This window comes from Homo sapiens, chromosome 3 (assembly GCF_000001405.40).
Source record: "Homo sapiens chromosome 3, GRCh38.p14 Primary Assembly".
Taxonomy (NCBI): domain Eukaryota; kingdom Metazoa; phylum Chordata; class Mammalia; order Primates; family Hominidae; genus Homo; species Homo sapiens.
Window position 1 is genome coordinate 44,984,776 of NC_000003.12, and position 16,984 is coordinate 45,001,759.

The 16,984-nt window shown below is 44.6% G+C and overlaps 1 protein-coding gene across 5 annotated transcripts in view; it reads left to right on the forward strand.

Moving 5' to 3' along the window:
• EXOSC7 (exosome component 7) overlaps positions 1–16,984 on the forward strand; it is a 36,425-nt gene that overhangs the window by 8,532 nt on the left and 10,909 nt on the right. For 3 of the 5 annotated variants that reach the window (NR_023353.2, XM_047447749.1, XM_017005930.3), the window contains exons 2-3: positions 12,312–12,477; positions 16,763–16,833. Coding sequence is in view for 4 of the 5 variants with exons in the window: in XM_047447749.1 (XP_047303705.1) it covers positions 12,312–12,477; positions 16,763–16,833 (237 nt within the window). In the remaining variant the exon portion in view is untranslated. Of the gene's footprint in view, positions 1–4,364; positions 4,467–4,774; positions 4,870–12,311; positions 12,478–16,762; positions 16,834–16,984 lie in introns of all 5 variants that reach the window. The other 2 variants (XM_047447748.1, NM_015004.4) reach the window with 1 other exon arrangement.

Genomic DNA, 16,984 nt, shown 5'->3' on the forward strand with positions numbered 1-16,984 from the left:
TGCACATTATCTGGTATATAGTAAATGCACAGTAAATAGCAGCTGCTATTATTTATTGCAAATAATTACAGCCATTTTAATTTATAGATCTGTAGAATTAGAGAATCACTTTGAGACTAATTTAATCTCCATCTTTTACAAATGAGGAAACTAATCCAGAGAGGGAAGGGGCTTGTCCTAAGTCAAGTGGCTAGTTAGTGCCAGGAGCTGGCCTGGAACCATGAGTCATGTTCCTAATGATTGTTCATACTTACACCATATTTACACCCCACAAAGAACTTCTTGTCAATAACCTTTCTGGGCTGGGTATTCACTTTCCTAGCTGGGGAGTGGGGCACATGGAGGTGGAGAGGGCTGGAGTGTTAGAGATTGAGCTAGAAAGCCTTCAGGTTCTATGGGTGAGGTTGGGAAGAGACACAGTTACATAGTTATGGGTCTTCCAGTGAAGAGGGATCACCTTCTGGAGTTCTATCCTAAAGGCTTACTCTCTTAGACTTGAAATTCTGTTGCTTTTTGAATCCATCTCCAGACTCAAGATAGGGATATTGTGTCTGGAATTGGTGGGTTCTTGGTCTCACTGATTTCAAGAATGAAGCTGCAGACCCTCGCGGTGAGTGTTACAGTTCTTAAAGGCGGCGTGTCCGGAGTTGTTCCTTCTGATGTTCAGATGTGCTCGGAGTTTCTTCCTTCTGGTGGGTTCGTGGTCTCGCTGGCTCAGGAGTGAAGCTGCAGACCTTCATGGTGAGTGTTACAGCTCTTAAGGCGGCACACCTGGAGTTGTTCATTCCTCCCGAGGTGGGTTCGTGGTCTCGCTGGCTTCAGGAGTGAAGCTGCAGACCTTCGCGGTGAGTGTTACAGCTCATAAAGGCAGTGTGGACCCAAAGAGTGAGCAGTAGCAAGATTTATTGCAAAGAGCGAAAGAACAAAGCTTCCACAGTGTGGAAGGGGACCCAAGCGGGTTGCCACTGCTGGCTCTGGCAGCTTGCTTTTATTCTCTTATCTGGCCCCACCCACATTCTGCTGATTGGTCCATTTTACAGAGAGCCGAGTGGTCTGTTAGACAGGGTGCTGATTGGTGCGTTTACAATCCCTGAGCTAGACACAAAGGTTCTCCACCTCCCCAGTAGATTAGCTAGATACAGAGTGTAGACACAAAGGTTCTCCAAGTCCCCACCAGAGTAGCTAGATACAGAGTGCTGATTGGTGTATTTACAATCTCTTAGCTAGACATAGAGGTTCTCCAAGTCCCCATCAGACTCAGGAGCCCGGCTGGCTTCAACCAGTGGATCCTGCACTGGGGCCGCAGGTGGAGCTGCCTGCCAGTCCCCTGCCATGCACCCGCATTCCTCAGCCCTTGGGTGGTCGATGGGACTGGGCGCCGTGGAGCAGGGGGCAGCGCTCCTTGGGGAGGTTGGGGCCACACAGGAGCACCCATGGGTGGGGGTGGGAGGGCGGGGAGGCTCCCGCATGGCAGGCTGCAGATCCGGAGCCCTGCCCCGTGGGAAGGCAGCTAAGGCCCAGCAAGAAATTGAGCACAGCAGCTGCTGGCCCAGGTGCTAAGCCCCTCACTGCCTGGGGCCAGCTGGCTGCTCCAGAGTATGGGGCCCGCCTAGCCCACACCCACCCGCTGAGCCCATGCCCACCCAGAACTCGCGCTGGCCCGCAAGCACTGCCCGCAGCCCTGGTTCCCACCCACGCCTCTCCCTCCACACCTCCCAGCAAGCTGAGGGAGCCGGCTCCCACCTTGGCCAGCCCAGAAAGGGGCTCCCGCAGTGCAGCGGCGGGCTGAAGGGCTCCTCAAGTGCTGCCAAAGTGGGAGCCCAGGCAGAGGAGGTGCCGAGAGCAAGCGAGGGCTGTGAGGGCTGCCAGCACGCTGTCACCTCTCAATATCTTCCAGGGAGGAAAGGTGCTGGGGGAAGGATGGGCTGCACAGGACCTTCCACCTGATTTGTGATGTTTATTTTCTGTCATTGAAAAGTTAAACGGGTGAAAGACCTGAAGCAAGTATGGCAGAGGGTGATCATTGGTACTGTGTGGTGCTGCAGTGTTTTGCTTTTTTCTGTTTAATTTCTCAAAAAAGTCAGTCACATATGCAGTTAGCCAGGCAGTTTAAAGATAAACTGTCAGTCACATACTTTAGAGCAGTGTTTTATTTTATTTTTTATGTTTCTGGGAAGCATCAACTCCTTGGAGAATCTGATTAAGCTAATGATTCTTTTTCTGAAAAAAACTGCTTTTGAAAAATGTTTACAAAGAATGAGAAGGAGCTCCATGAGCCAACGTGGAATGATTTCCTGCATATATATAGTTAAGTGTTAAAAAAAAAAAAAAAAGTAAGAGTATCTATAGTATTCCACCCTTCATATAAGAAACAAGGAGATATTAAAAAATTCATGTATTTGCTTATTTGTGCAGAGAAAATACAAGAAAGATAAACCTGAAACTGAAGAGAAACCTAGGGTGAATGGGAAGAAAGGGGCATGAAAATAGCATAATACGGAGGAGAGTGACATTTCTCTGAGCATACTTTTCTGAGTTTTCTCTCAGAACTATAGTGATAGCTCACAAACTCAGAAAGTAAATAAGTAATTAAAAGTAACCATGATGTGGGGGAACCCAAAATGGAAAACAAAAATTTACAAATGAAAATTAGCCAGGCATGGTGATGTGCCTGTAATTCCAGCTACTTCAGAGGCTGAGGCGGGAGAAGCGCTTGAACGCAGGTGGCGGAGGTTGCAGTGAGCTGTGCCACACTGCACTCCAGCCTGGGCGACAGAGCCATAGTCTAAAAAAAAAGTTACAAGTTACAAATGAGCCTGTGTTACAAGTGAGTAATGTAACCACACTGAAGGGCACGTAGAAGAAAAGAACTGAAGTAACTGGAAAACAGTATTTTGCCTGGATACTCTGAGGCTAAAGACAGAACTTTACACAAATACTGTGTGCTATTAGTAAATTTGTTTCTCACAGGGGTATGGGTTAGAAGTTCAGAAACTGTGTATACTAAGATTGAACAAATACAGAAATACATGTTAGATAATAAGAGCCAGCTTTCTCCTTCTTTGAGAAAGAAGTTACAAATAAGAAACAGAGGAAGGTTAGAATGAACCATGTGATGTTAGATTGGAATTGATCTATCAGTATGAACTCTTGGCTTTTTAATAGATATGTAGATAGATACAGAATTAAACAGATTTGTGTGTGTGTGGTGGGGGTGGTTAGTATACATAACTGTATTTTCTAGCTCTGTCTGCTGAGAAGTTCTGGAAGAAATAATACTCCAACAGCAATGAACTTAGAGCCTAGTTCCTGGTTTTAAGTACCATTCCCCAATAAAAGCAACCAGGGCTCCTTGGAGAAAGGCTTGATCCCTAGGGCTGGGCAGAGAAGACACAAGAGGATAGATATCTTGTGTTGCAGAAAGTAGATAATTACTCAAAAAGTTGGAGGCATGTTGAAAGAGCACAAAAACTAACCCAAAGAAGCCCCCAGTGGCCAAATTTGGAACACTTTGAGCAGCAAAATAACTAATGATAGTAGTGGATTATAACCATAGCATAAAAGATACCAATGAGTTGTACTGATACAAGTAATTGAAGGAGTAAATAAATGGGCAGAAGGAACAGGCAGCGCGTAGACCACCCTGAAAACCATCTTCTGCCAAAAGAGTCAGCAAACTTCCTGTAAAGGACTGGATAGTAAAGATTTGGGGCCTTATGGGTCATATCTCTGGCCCAACCACTCAGCTCTGCTTTTGTAGTGCAGAAACAATCATAGACATTACCTAAACAAGTGGGCATGGCTATGTTCCAGTAAAACTTATTTACAAAAACAAGGGACCTTAGTTTGTTGACCCTGTTCTAGAGACTGCCTCTTTAGAAGATTAGGTGTCTTTCACTATTTACACAGTAGATCTTGTTGAGTTTTAGGGGTAGGAGGGCTTCAGTTGAGATGATTGTACTCTGTAGCTCTGACAACATATACTTCTTGGTGCAATTTAAGAATTGCAGATTTAGAGAGAGGTGGCTTATTTTGTCTCTTGTTCAGATCTTGTTTTTGTGTGCATATTCTATATAGTGGTATGTAGTATAGATTTTGCAATCAGACACAACTGGCATGGAAAACTAGCTTTGTTTTCACTAGCTGTAGGACCTTGGACAAGTCGCTCAACTTCTCTGAGTCTCCATTTCCTCATATGTAAAATAGTAATGTTGTTGTTAGCTACAAGGACAGAATTTTAGATGATCCACTAAGAGGAAAAGAGATATTCTGCATATATCTTCTCTAGGGGGAAAATGGGTGAGTCCGTTTAGGAGTTATTGTTGATCTGGGGTGACTATAGGACTGTGGTTGTTAACACCTAGGAAGACCTCCGTGTGGATGGCCGTGGCTGTGAGGACTACCGATGTGTCGAAGTGGAAACTGATGTGGTGTCCAACACTAGTGGGTCCGCCAGGGTCAAGCTGGTGAGTACTGTGACCATGGTTCAAGCCCAGGTGGAGAAATGAGTAGGCCCTAAGGAATGAGCTGCTGACGCTGTCTGGCTTTTGGAATGCAAATTGCTCTTGGGGAAATCGAAGATCCGAGCCAAACTCAGGGAGGGGGGGTCTATCCAGATCTGAAAAGACTGCTCACCTCCTCCAAAGACCACTTTCCAAGTCTTAGCACTGCTCCTAAAAGAGTCCCCCAGGGGTGTATGTCCAGAAGAGGAGGGAGGTGGTGGAGTACCTGGCTGCATACTCTGAGTGAGGACTCTTCTTGCATGTGTCTGCAGGGTCACACAGACATCTTGGTGGGAGTGAAAGCAGAAATGGGGACGCCGAAGCTGGAGAAACCAAATGAAGGCTACTTGGAGTTCTTTGTTGACTGGTCAGTACTGTCTATGCAGATATTTCTAAAGATAAATGATTTTAAAGATGAAGATTCAGAAAATGAACCTCTGGTTTGCTGTTGAACCCACTTTTATACTTATCATTCAGCCATCCAGCAGGCATTTGCTGACCTCCTCCTATGTGCCAGGTACATAGTCAGGACTCTTGGCTTGAGTCCTGCCCTAGTCTTAACCACCTGGCTATTGCTGGCCTTGTTTTCCCTGTCCGATAAAGGAGGACATTTGCCAGGCAGCCTAGCACATGATTGTGATGAGGGTCAAATGAAATGATTGTGTTATGGTGCTTTGAAAAATATACACAGTAAGGATCATTTGGTCTAAAATGTGCTGTTTCTCTTCCTACTCTAGTTCTGCAGAAAACTGTTCATGATTTGCTTGACAGATGAAGCCTAGGGTCAGCCAAGCAGCCTGACAGGCTGAGGAAGTGGCAGCTAGGCAGGCAGTATGGGTGCTGAGAAGAGAGAGGGCTCTGCAGTGTCTGCAGCCAGCCTTGGGCCAGAATGTCACTTCCTTCTCTGGCCAGCTTTGTGATCTCAGGCTGGTTACTCAGTCTCACTGTGGCCAAATTTCTTCATCTAAAAAATGAGGATAATAAATAATACCATGGTGATGAAGAGGAAATGAATAGAGTGAGTACCTAGCACAGTGACTGACTTCCAGTGGGCTTTCAATAAGTGTTATTTCTCCTTATTTTGTCAATAAGTTCAATAAGTATTATTAGCTCCACATTCTAGGGGTCGGGGCTTTTTATTTGGTTGCTGGCCAGGTCCCGTCTTCTATCAATTACTTTGCTTCTGGAAGCCAGGCCTTCTTGAAGTGGGTAAGGATCTCTGTGGGCTCATGCTGGGTGTAGGTATATAATGTTGACCCTGTATCAAGATCCCCAAGACCACCTCCACATTCAGAGATTTGCTAGACTTAGCATATAGTGATACTCACAGCTAAGGTTTATTACAGCAGTGAAAATGCAGTAACTTATTTGTGACATTTCTGCCCAGGAAAGCCCATTAGAGACTCAGCACCCAAGATTTTTACTGGGAGCTGGTCACATAGACACTCGATGCTTAATACATAATGAAGTTTTCTAAAGGAAAGCAAATGTTCAGCATAAATCATATTATTTGCACAATATAGGCACAGTGGACTACCCCCATCAGTTTACTATTGCCTGGGAGCCAGGTTCCCGGATGCCAGCCAAGGGCCAACCCTGCAAACAGACCCTTCTGAAAATAGCACCTTTGGACTGCAATGGCAGCCCTTTTTTGCACAAATGTTAACCCACTTTTGTAGGGTGAGTTACAGTCTTCCAGTCTGAACTTCCATACACGGAAGCTGATTCTCATAGTACTCGTATAAGAGAAATGACAAATGAGTTCAGAGAGAGTAAGTGACTACCCCAGGGTTACAAAGCTAAAAATGCCAGCTCAGGTCTGTCCAACCTGTGAATCTTTGCTCATTTTACTTCATGCAGCCTATGGAAGCCAGCTTTGGAGGGCTGCTCTTGGGGAGTCCAAGAACTATCCATGTTCATTTTTCTGGTCAGTTTTTTTTCCAGCCCATTCCTGTCCCCTACTCTGGTCCCCCAAGTCGTCTCTCCTGGTTCTGCTCATCTTCTCTCACCAGCCTGAGTTGTCCCATGGAATTGGCCCATCCTTTAAGTCACTGTGGATGATGGTGACCTTGTTCAAGCCCCCAACTTATCTTTTCCTTTGTTCTTGGAGGAAGCAGAATGCCTCTGGTGGCCTTGATCTGCCTAATTCAATGCAGTAAGCAGTCACTGAGGAGCAGACAATGTGTGAGGAACTGTAATTTGCTTTCTTTTTCATCTCCTTCATTACCTTCTACCTCATTCATTTTAGGCAGACCAAAGACATTCAGCCCAACCACACCAAAGAGAGGGTGTTGCCCTCAGATGCTTGGTATAGGGGATACGTTTCATTGTGGCTCTGTGTCTAAATATGACTCCAAGTTAGCCTGCTGCTCTTATCCCTTTCTTGTCCCAGCTGTAAAGGATGAGTGACTCTAGTGTGAGAGGATTCTTTGAGTTGCCTCTTCCCAAGATCTGGCTTCTAGAAGTAGCCTATCTTTCCTGGCTTAGAGTGGCTGCCTGCTGGTCTCTTTTCCTCCTCTGTGGGTCTCAAAAGGATCCCCACAGGCCCAAGAGCTCCAGTATCTAGGTAGTTCTCCTGAATTGATTTCTCAAGATGGACAGTCTCAAAGTGGCACACTTTACCTTCTTTAAGTGGCTCAGCTAATGTAATCAGCCGGGCAAGTAGAATCACCATGAGAGAGTCACAAAACCCCATTTCCTACAGAGATGGGAGAGGTTACCAAGCACTGATCGCTGCCACCTGTATCAGAACCTCAATTGAGTCTTCAAGGAGCATAATTATTTTAATTGCATAAACAAGTGTGTCCTTTTATTCTGAATCAGTGAATAGGAATGGCTTCTGGACACCCGTGGATGTGCCCAGCAATAAGGGTGCCACACACCCACTCCCACCTGGACTCCAGGCATAGGGCCTCTGCTGGAGAGCTCAAGGCATTTGCCTATCCACAGGCTGAAACATAGTTGCTGCCCAGTGGAAGGAAATAAATTGGTGGTGATGGTGGTGGTGATGGTGGTGAGGGTTTCTTCTGCTGCTCTGAGTCTAGTTTGATTTAACTTCTTGTTAGCAACTTCCAGTTTTAATTAAATTGCCAGGGGTAGAGAGGTCTCAGAAAACTAATTGATTTTCTGCCAACCCATTTCACTTGGTTTTGTCTACTTGGGATGATAATACATGGAGCCAAGATAGACACTGTCGCCACCTCCATAATTTACCCTGTTTCTTGGGAATGACGAAAAATCTTTGATATAGCCCTCACAGCCCTTTGGAAAGACTGCTGCACTGACCCTGAGCCCTGTTCCAGAGATGCCTGGCAGCACTGTCACTAAACTGGGAGCAAAATCTGACCTTTTCATGTCTTTGGTTTGCTGGTTGTAGCTGAGAGTAGGCTATTTTAAATGAGAATTTGGAAACTTTAGGAAAAGGTGGTTTCTATCTAAAGCCCAAAGGAAGGGAAGATTTTAGTGAGCTGGTGTGTCACCCTGCGCTGCCACTAGGCGGCGAGCCATCAAGTTGCTTCTCAGTTCTCCGACCATTGTGTTGATGGGTTTAGGACTGTGGTTTAACCTCTTAGAGAGGCTTGGGTTTTTAACTAGGGGAGTTTAGGAGAACATTTTTCATTCATAAATGTTTCAGAATACTCCGCACTTGTCACTTCCCTTTGGGATCTTAACTATTTTTCAATGTGAACACTTGTATTTTTCACTAAAATTGAACCAGAATCTTCAAGCCTGCATTGGTGGTTGGAGTCACTATATCTGGGTTCCTTGCCTGCTTAGTGCTGCTAAAGGGGACACTGTTCCTGGCTGAGGGGCTGGGGGTGGGTACAAAGCAGAGAGGCAACCTGCAGAAGCCTTTTGAGGCTAATTGTAATCAAAGTCTCCCAAGCTGATGAGATAACTCTCGCAGACACTTCAAACAAAGGCTTGTGATGAAAACCTCAGAATATACTTACTATTGGTCTGGTACCCATTTACAGGGAGGCTTCTACAGGCTCAGACATGAGCACATGTACACTCAGAGGAATCAGCCTTAGGGCCTGTGTTGGGGCTAGATGACTACTGGAGGGGTAAGGCCCAGGTCAGCCCTGCCTAGGTACCCACTAGATCACTTTTTCTGCTGTGGGCCTGGCCTGACCTGGACGTAAGACTTCATAGATTTGTAGGCTAGATTGATTGCCAGGCAAGCAACAGTGGGCCCAGTGTCTAGAGTCCCTTTCCAGGTAGGCATGGCCTTGATCTCAGCCTACCCCAGTTAAACCAGAGATGTTCCAAGCAGGAGGGTAGAGGTGATGAGTCAGAAGGGGTGGAGAGCTGGGAGGGGTAGCATTCCCAGGATCTTAATTAGTTTATCCAGCTCAGTAAACAATTTCCCACAACTCTGGAAGAGGGACTGGTCATGCTTTATGAAGGGTCAGAATTGGTTTTGGTAAATGCAGAAAGCATTTGGTTTTATGCCCAAAAGACCAAGTGTGTACACCCCCCACTGAAGGAGTAGATTGTGATGCATATGAGCAGGCAGCTACAATTACCAGCCTGTGTTTTCTTTCTCTCTCTAACAGAGCAGAGCAGCTTTTTATTTAGGGCTTCCTTGGTCAACATTCCTTGACTCCAACATTTGTTGTCTAGTGATAAGTTCCAAGACCAAAGCATACATTCATTTCCCTGAGGCAAAAGGTAAAACCAAGGAAAGTGAACCTGACTAATGTTAGACTATAAACCAAGCTTGCCAAATTACAGATTCAAGGAGAGTACAGGGAAGCATAGAAGATAAGGGCCAGGCTGCCTGGGTTAGAATTTTAGCTTACCAGGCACAGTCATCATGTGGCCTTGGACAAATTACATAACCTCTCTGTGACTCAGTTTTCTTGTTTCTAGAATGGAATCCATACCTCCTAGGGTTGTTGTGAACATTAAATGAGTTAATACACCTAAAGTACTAAGAGTGGTGTCTAGCTCATGCTAAACATTAAAAAAAAAAAAAAAAAGATAAGGTCTCCCTTCTTGTAAAATGAGAGAGTTAGACCATCTGGGGTTTCACAGTGTCATCCCACAGGTCAGATCCCACCTGGGAGATTTTTGTTTCATGTAGGGATTTTTTTTTTTTTTAAGGTGGACCTTAAATCAGGGCTAGAAAGTTTGCCACAGCTTCCATCATTCTCTATTAGTTATATGTGGCCCTTTGTTCAGATACATGTAGTAACCTTGCTGACCCCTATAGCCATTTGGGTTTTTATCCTCTGGAGATGGTCTCTAAGGCCTTTTCCAGGTCTACATTTCTGTCTAAATTTGTCAGAAAGAGTCCTTGGGCTGTGAGTGCCCAGTAGTGAAGTGGAATCCTCATTTCTCTATTCCAGCCTTTGTCTTCACACATCAGCAGAATATGGGGTCTGTGGCTTTCTTATGTTGCTTAAAGCATTGTACCCCATCCCCCACCCTGAACAATTGCTTTCCGTTTTCCTAGCCTCCTCCCCAGAGTCACTGCACAGCTATGGCACCATCCAGTTACAGGAGAGTTCCTTGGGCTCATGAGTCTCTAAACCTTCCTCTCTGTCTGACTGCTGGCTATGGTGGAAGAATGGGTGTGTGTGTGTGTGTGTGTGTGTGTGTGTGTGTGTGTGTGTGTGTGTGTTTTAAGCCATTTAAAAATAGGTAAAAATTTCCACTTTAACCCAGTGTCAAAAAAAAACCAGTGGGGCATGGGTTTGTTGTTGTTGTTGTTATTTTGAGACGGAGTTTCACTCTTGTTGACCAGGCTGGAGTGCAGTGGTGCGATCTCAGCTCACTGCAACCTCTGCCTCAGGTTCAAGTGATTCTTGTGCCTCAGCCTCCTAAGTAGCTGGGATTACAGGCATGTGCCACCACGCCCAGATAATTTTTGTATTATTAGTAGAGACGGGGTTTCTACATGTTGGTCAGGCTGGTCTCGAACCCCCGACCTCAGGTGATCCACCCGCCTTGGCCTCCGAAAGTGCTGGGATTGCAGGCGTGAGCCACCACGCCTGGCCAGGGGCATGCATGGTTTTATAGGTAGATTAATTTAGACAGTTGGACCTGGGAAGCTCTATAAATCATCTCCCAAGGCTGTAGAAGAGTTAGTGCATTAATCCCAAAGAAATTAGTCACACCCAGGAGGATGTGCCCACTACATTCAGGGAAAGGTAAACATTTTGAGTGTAAGCATCTCTGGCTGGATTTGTGTACACAGAAATCTCTGTAGATGTATTTTTAAGCACTTAAGACCTGGGACTTAATATTGATTGCTTAGTGTTTAAATTAGAAACAGGTTGTGTTTTGCTGGCTGTGCAAAGTAAAAACCTGGTCCCTGTTGACTTGATTATTTCACCATAAATGAGCTGCTTTTCTTGGCTCAGTGCCTGAGTCCAGCAAAGGCAGGGAACAGCGAGGTTGCTATGGCAGTAATGAAGTCTCTCTTGGGGACTTTAAAGGGGATTCTGCTGGCTCACAGTGGTAAAGGAGGAGTACATAATTAGAGAGGCAAAATTTTATGTAACAACATAGTCTGATTAATTTGGGATTCATTCTTCCACCTATATTACTAAGTGAGATTTCTTTTAGTGTTACACAAATAGGGTGGGCACTGCCATGGGCGTTCACACAGGTTTTGCTTTGCCTGGAATCTTCCTGCCTCTCTGGCCTGACCAGCTCTGCTCATCCCAGGTTTGAGGTCGCCTTTAAACCTGAATGCTAATTGACACTCCTGTGCCCCTACTCCCGCTTCTACCTCACTGTTTGCTCCCTATGGTGAAACTCCCCTACCTCACTGGAACTGCTGGCTTTGGGTCTGCATCCACCTCACTTAGTCTCTAGGTCTCTGGTAGCTGGTGCAGGGCTGGGTGCCTTCCAGATGGGCAAGGGGTCAGAAGGCTTTAATATGTGATTTTATAGAGTCCATGCTGAAACCACTGGCTTCTTACCTTTCTAGTCCTTTACTGTTACAGTAAAATAATTACTAGAATGTTACTTACCTCATATACATATTAAGGGTTTGTTTGTATTAAGCCAAAAACTCTCAGAAATGTCCTGTTAAACACTTCAGTGTTTTTAGGGTGGCTAATGTTGAATCCTGTTAGTTTTGTTGAGGTTATTGGGCATAAATATCAAGAAGCCAAAAAGGGAAAAAAAAAGTTTTTCTCTTGAAAAATATCAAATGAAGGAGGTAACCTACTACTTACAAGCCAACAATCTTTCCCTTGCTTTCTTTCATTTTCCTTCTCTTCAGTACAGTGATATCTAAAGTTTCTGACAAAGCTCTGACATACTATCATACATGTCTTTTAAGTTATTCCAGAAAGGTTATTGTACTTACATTGTGGTTTTTATATTGAGAGTATCGTAGTGTGTTCTAAAGCTGTGAAACTAGAGGTGGTGTATATGACAAAACCCCTCTGTAACCCAGACTGCTTCATTCCCTAGGCCTCTCAGTTTCCTAGGCCTGCCAGAGAAGAGTATTTATTATACTCTGAAGATAAGAGAGTTAATTATTATCGGCCGAGGTTCACATTACCATCACTCTCCTGTTTCTCTTTGACTAAAGATGGCTTCTGTTAGATGCTATTGGGAAATCCCATCACACACACTGACAAATCCAGGTCACAGTGCTGGTCTGGTTCATTACATGTGTCTGGAGTCAGGAAAAGTGGCAGATGCCATCCTTTCCTCATCTCAGTGACTTTCTGTCGAGCAGCTGGCTCTTCCAGCATTCTACAGGGAAACTGGAATAAAGCTTTGCCTCTTTGCTTTTTGCACTTGGAAAGACTCACCCAGTTTTTTTGTTTCTGTTTTGTATAGTTCAGCCAGTGCTACCCCTGAATTTGAAGGTAGAGGAGGTGATGACCTTGGCACCGAGATCGCTAACACCCTCTATCGGATATTTAACAATAAAAGCAGTGTCGACTTAAAGACCCTCTGCATTAGTCCTCGGGAGCACTGCTGGGTTCTCTATGTGGATGTGCTGGTGAGTATCATCGTGCTGTACTGGCCACATTCTACCTTTGTTGGAAAGACTAGTTGGCCTATTTTCCTTCCAGTGCTTTTTTCCTCTTCAGGTGGATGCTTTCAACTTATAGGGTGGGATTAGTTGGGAAAAGATGGTCTCCTATAATAATTTTTTTAAAAATTAAATACAACATAGATGTAAGCAGCATATATATAATGCCATTCTATGATAAAATTATAGTCATATCATGATAGCACCTAAAATTGCCCATAAAAATTGTCCAGGAAGAGTAAAACAAGAGATGGTCTCTGGATGGTGCCAGACAGAGTTCATGGGCAGAATTTAAGCAGGTTGGTACATTCTGTGTGGAAGGATGATTAGCTCTTTACATGCATTTTCATTTAAACCTTATAAACCTGTTACAAATGGACACTGTTATATTTCCCATTTATAAGTGAGGAAACTAAGACAGACAGAGGTAAATCAACTAGCCCAAGAGGTCTCAGCTTGTGAGTAGTGCTGTTGAGTCTCAAAGCCAGGTCTGTATGATGTGAACACCTGGTTTGACTTCACTGTGCCATTGTTTCTTTTAAACACCTCAGAACGTGCCTGCCTTTAGTTTCCTGGGTGAGGCCCCAGAGGCCCTGCCTCCTCCCACACAGAGTCTACTCCCCTGGGAGTCTTTTGAGTCCAGCCCGTCATTTCTTCCCTTGTACTTTGCCTCCCAAATACTCCTCTACCCAGGTTTTGGCACTCGACAGTAACTTCTCTGTGTAGCTCTAATTAATTTTTTTTTGTTTTTTTGTTTTTTTTTTTTTTGAGATGGAGTCTTGCTCTGTCACCCAGGCTGGAGTGCAATGGCGTGATCTTGGCTCACTGCAACCTCTGCTTCCCAGGTTCAATCGATTCTCATGTCTCAGCCTCCTGAGTAGCTGGGACTACAGGCACATGTCACCATGCCTGGCTCATTTTTGTATTATTAGTAGAGATGGGGTTTCATCATGTTGGCCAGGCATGTCTGGAACTCCTGACCTCAAGTGATCCACCTGCCTCGGCCTCCCAAAGTGCGGGGATTACAGGTGCAAACCACCGTGCCTGGCCTTACGGGGATTACAGGTGCAAACCACCGTGCCTGGCCTTAATTTTGCTTTTGTATAATCACGTAGCAGTTGGTTGCTTGTTTATATATAGGCTCTTGTTGGGTCTGTTTTGAACCATGAGATTAGCAACTACATCTTCCACTTCAGATGAAGGACAAAAAGCTAAGCTATTGGCCAAATAGATTCTTTAATGAATGTGCAGATAAAGGAGATCTGTGAACTGATGGTGAACTTCATGAAAAGAAACAGCCTGGCTCTGCATGTTGGCTCTATTGAGACAGGGTGGAGTTTTCTAGATATTTTAAAATTAATTTGATATTGGATGGAGCATAGTCAAAAGGTAGCAGTGGTAACCATTATCTAGCAGGTTACTGTTGCAATGCTACCACTAATAGGTAAAAATAATGAAATTACAAATCTGTTTGCTTTTTTTCCATCTCTGATAAGTGGGATGTACCTTGTAGTATGATTCCTACTAAGTTGGCAATTTTTCAGGTCCTGGGTTTGAGAAGGTGGGACCTGGCAGCCTGTAGTCCTTACTGAGGATGGTAGAGGCAGGCTTCATAGTTGCCCAGGGAGGTGCAGCCCCATGACGTGAACTCTCCAGTTCCATCCTGTGTCTGAAGAAGTTTATGTCCCCTCCCCTCCGCCACTAGAGAAAGTTAAGACACAAGTGTGTGGCACACTGCATTTGTCCTTTTGTAATCCTTTGTTCATCCTCAGTATTCATGCACACTTGTAGTTTTGTAGGATGGCCCAGTGATGGGGACTGATGTGCTTTTGATTCAGTCAGTTAAAGTCAAAGCAACAGAAGCCTGTTCTATTAGGGAAGGCTTTTACAAAACTGATGACTACTGGGACATTATCTCAGCTCAGAAGCAGCCCTCTTCAGTGAGCAGGGGATGGATACATGGTGCGCAGGAATATCCAGGGGAATGTGTATTGTGTCCCTGTCATCTGTAGACCTTTCTTTTTAAGACTCCTGGCATTTGGATTTCTTCTGAAATATTTGTTTTAAGGGTTTTGCTTATTTTGGAAGAAGACATGAGCTTTTAAAATGTTGTCATTTTCTGACCGGGCACAGTGGCTCACACCTGTAATCCCAGCACTTTGGGATGCCAAGGCAGATGAATTCCCTGAGGTCAGGAGTTCGAGACCAGCCTGGAAAACATGGTGAAACCCTGTCTCTACTAAAAATACAAAAATTAGCTGGGCATGGTGGTGCCCACCTGTAATCCCAGCTACTGGGGAGACTGAGGCAAGAGAATTGCTTGAACCTGGGAGGTGGAGGTTGCAGTGAGCCGAGATGGTGCCACTGCACTCCATCCTGGGCAACAGAGTGAGAATCCATCTTTAAAAAAAAAAAAAGTTGTCATCTTCAGAAAAGTTTTTAATGAATTAGAAAAGCATTTTTGAAAATTGTATTATTGATGAGGCCGATCCATTTTTTGGCATTCACATAGTTTTCATCAGTGGATGGGTGATATACTGAATAGATTGAGTCCATGTTTGAAGCGAGGTGGTGGAAATCTGTGAAGCAATCCTTGAAGCAAGATAGTAGAAAAGAAACCTCCTAATTTCTTTTTACCAACTGGTCTGGTTAGTCCTCAGACAGAGCCCATGTTCAAACAGATATTTGCTGGGCACCCTGCCATGTTTTCATACTTACTTACTTCAAACCTATTACAGTCAGATGACCCACCTGTTTCCAGTATTGGTTTTTTTCCCCTCAGTTCGGTTATTTTATGAGAGTGAAAATTTAACTTCATGGAAATTTCACTTTGCTTTGCTCTTTATAGTTCTCTAATGGCATCAGTTTTTACTCCAAGAGGGAAACCTGTTAGAACTTTGCTGCACTAACAACACACAGCTGACCTTTGGTGGGGTGATTGGTCACAAGCCTGTCTTTTGATGGGTTCTTTCACAAATAATCACTAACCTTCTTCCTCATAGCACCCCTTCTGTTGGGCTCTGGGGATAAAAGGATGAACAAAACTACAGAGTCCCAGCCTTTAGGAGTTCACAGTTCAACTGCAGAGGAGATAGACTCTAAACAAAAACAGAACTACATGACTTTTCTTTCTATGTGTGACTTCTCACCTTTCTTATTTGGGGCAGCCCAGTCGGCTTTATTCCATAACCTCAGGCCAAGGCCTCTCTAAAATGAGGACAGAAGGATATGCCACCTTCCAGTTAAATGTGCTCTAATTTTCCCTGCTAGATGAGCATACGTAAGTGCACTCAACACTTTCGCTCATGGGCAGAAGCTTGTCTGAGAGACTTTAGTCTTCATTATAAGTAATGTAAAACATGTAGTATTTCATGTCTGAGCATCAGATATACATTGATCATTACATACGAGAAGTAATTACACTAGTAAATGTGAACCTAGTAGCAGCCGCAACATCAGTAGCCACCGTTTTCTCCTTGTTTGGAGGCCAGGCATATGTTAGCAAAGATTAGAGTAACACTTGGAGTACAATTGGGAGCTATCTGGGGCAAAATAAAGGTGATCAGTCCCACCTTCAGGGCAGCCCCAACTGCCTGAAGTGCCTGTGAGAGGAGCCCACCCACAAGCCATGGCCTCTGAGTGTTGGTACCACAGCCCTGCCAACTGTGACCTTGTGTGCATGGGCCACGTAAGCACAGCTATGACAAGGCAGTGCCTGTAATTAGGGTGAAGGACTGTGTCAGTGAGTTGCAGTCACTGCATGGCTAGCCAGGAGAGAAGCCACATGTTATCTTTATTTTATAAACACACAGTCAGCATTTCTTAGAAATCAGTGTCCTTGACCACAGAATAGATTTAGGGAAAGAAAAAAAAAAATCGGTGTCCTGGCCGGGCGTGGTGGCTCATGCCTATACCCCAGCACTTTGGGAGGCTGAGGTAGGCGGATCACTTTTGGTCAGGAGTTCAAGACCAGCCTGGCCAACATGGTGAAACCCTAAAATACAAAAATTAGCTGGGGGTGGTGGCGCACACGTGTAATCCCAGCTATTCGGGAGGCTGAGGTGGGAGAATTACTTGAACCTGGGAGGCAGAGGTTGCAGTTAGCCAAGATTGCACCACTGCACTCCAGCCTGAGTGACAGAGCGAGACTCTGTCTCAAAAAAAAAAAAGCAGTGTCCTTTAACTGGGGTAATACCTAAAGTAATAAGTGATGCTTGGTTTTTTTTCCTTTTTCAATTCCTGTCTCCCTTAGCTTCTGGAATGTGGTGGAAATTTGTTTGATGCCATTTCCATTGCTGTAAAGGCTGCTCTCTTCAATACAAGGTAAGTCTTCCTAGAAACAGCTCTGCGAACCTGTGGAGAACCAGAGCAGACACTTGTAATGGAACACTGAGGAAATTTCTATTGTAGCTCATATGTGAAGATAACAGGGGGTTTTAACATTGAAAATGGTGACATCTAACGTTAAACTCCA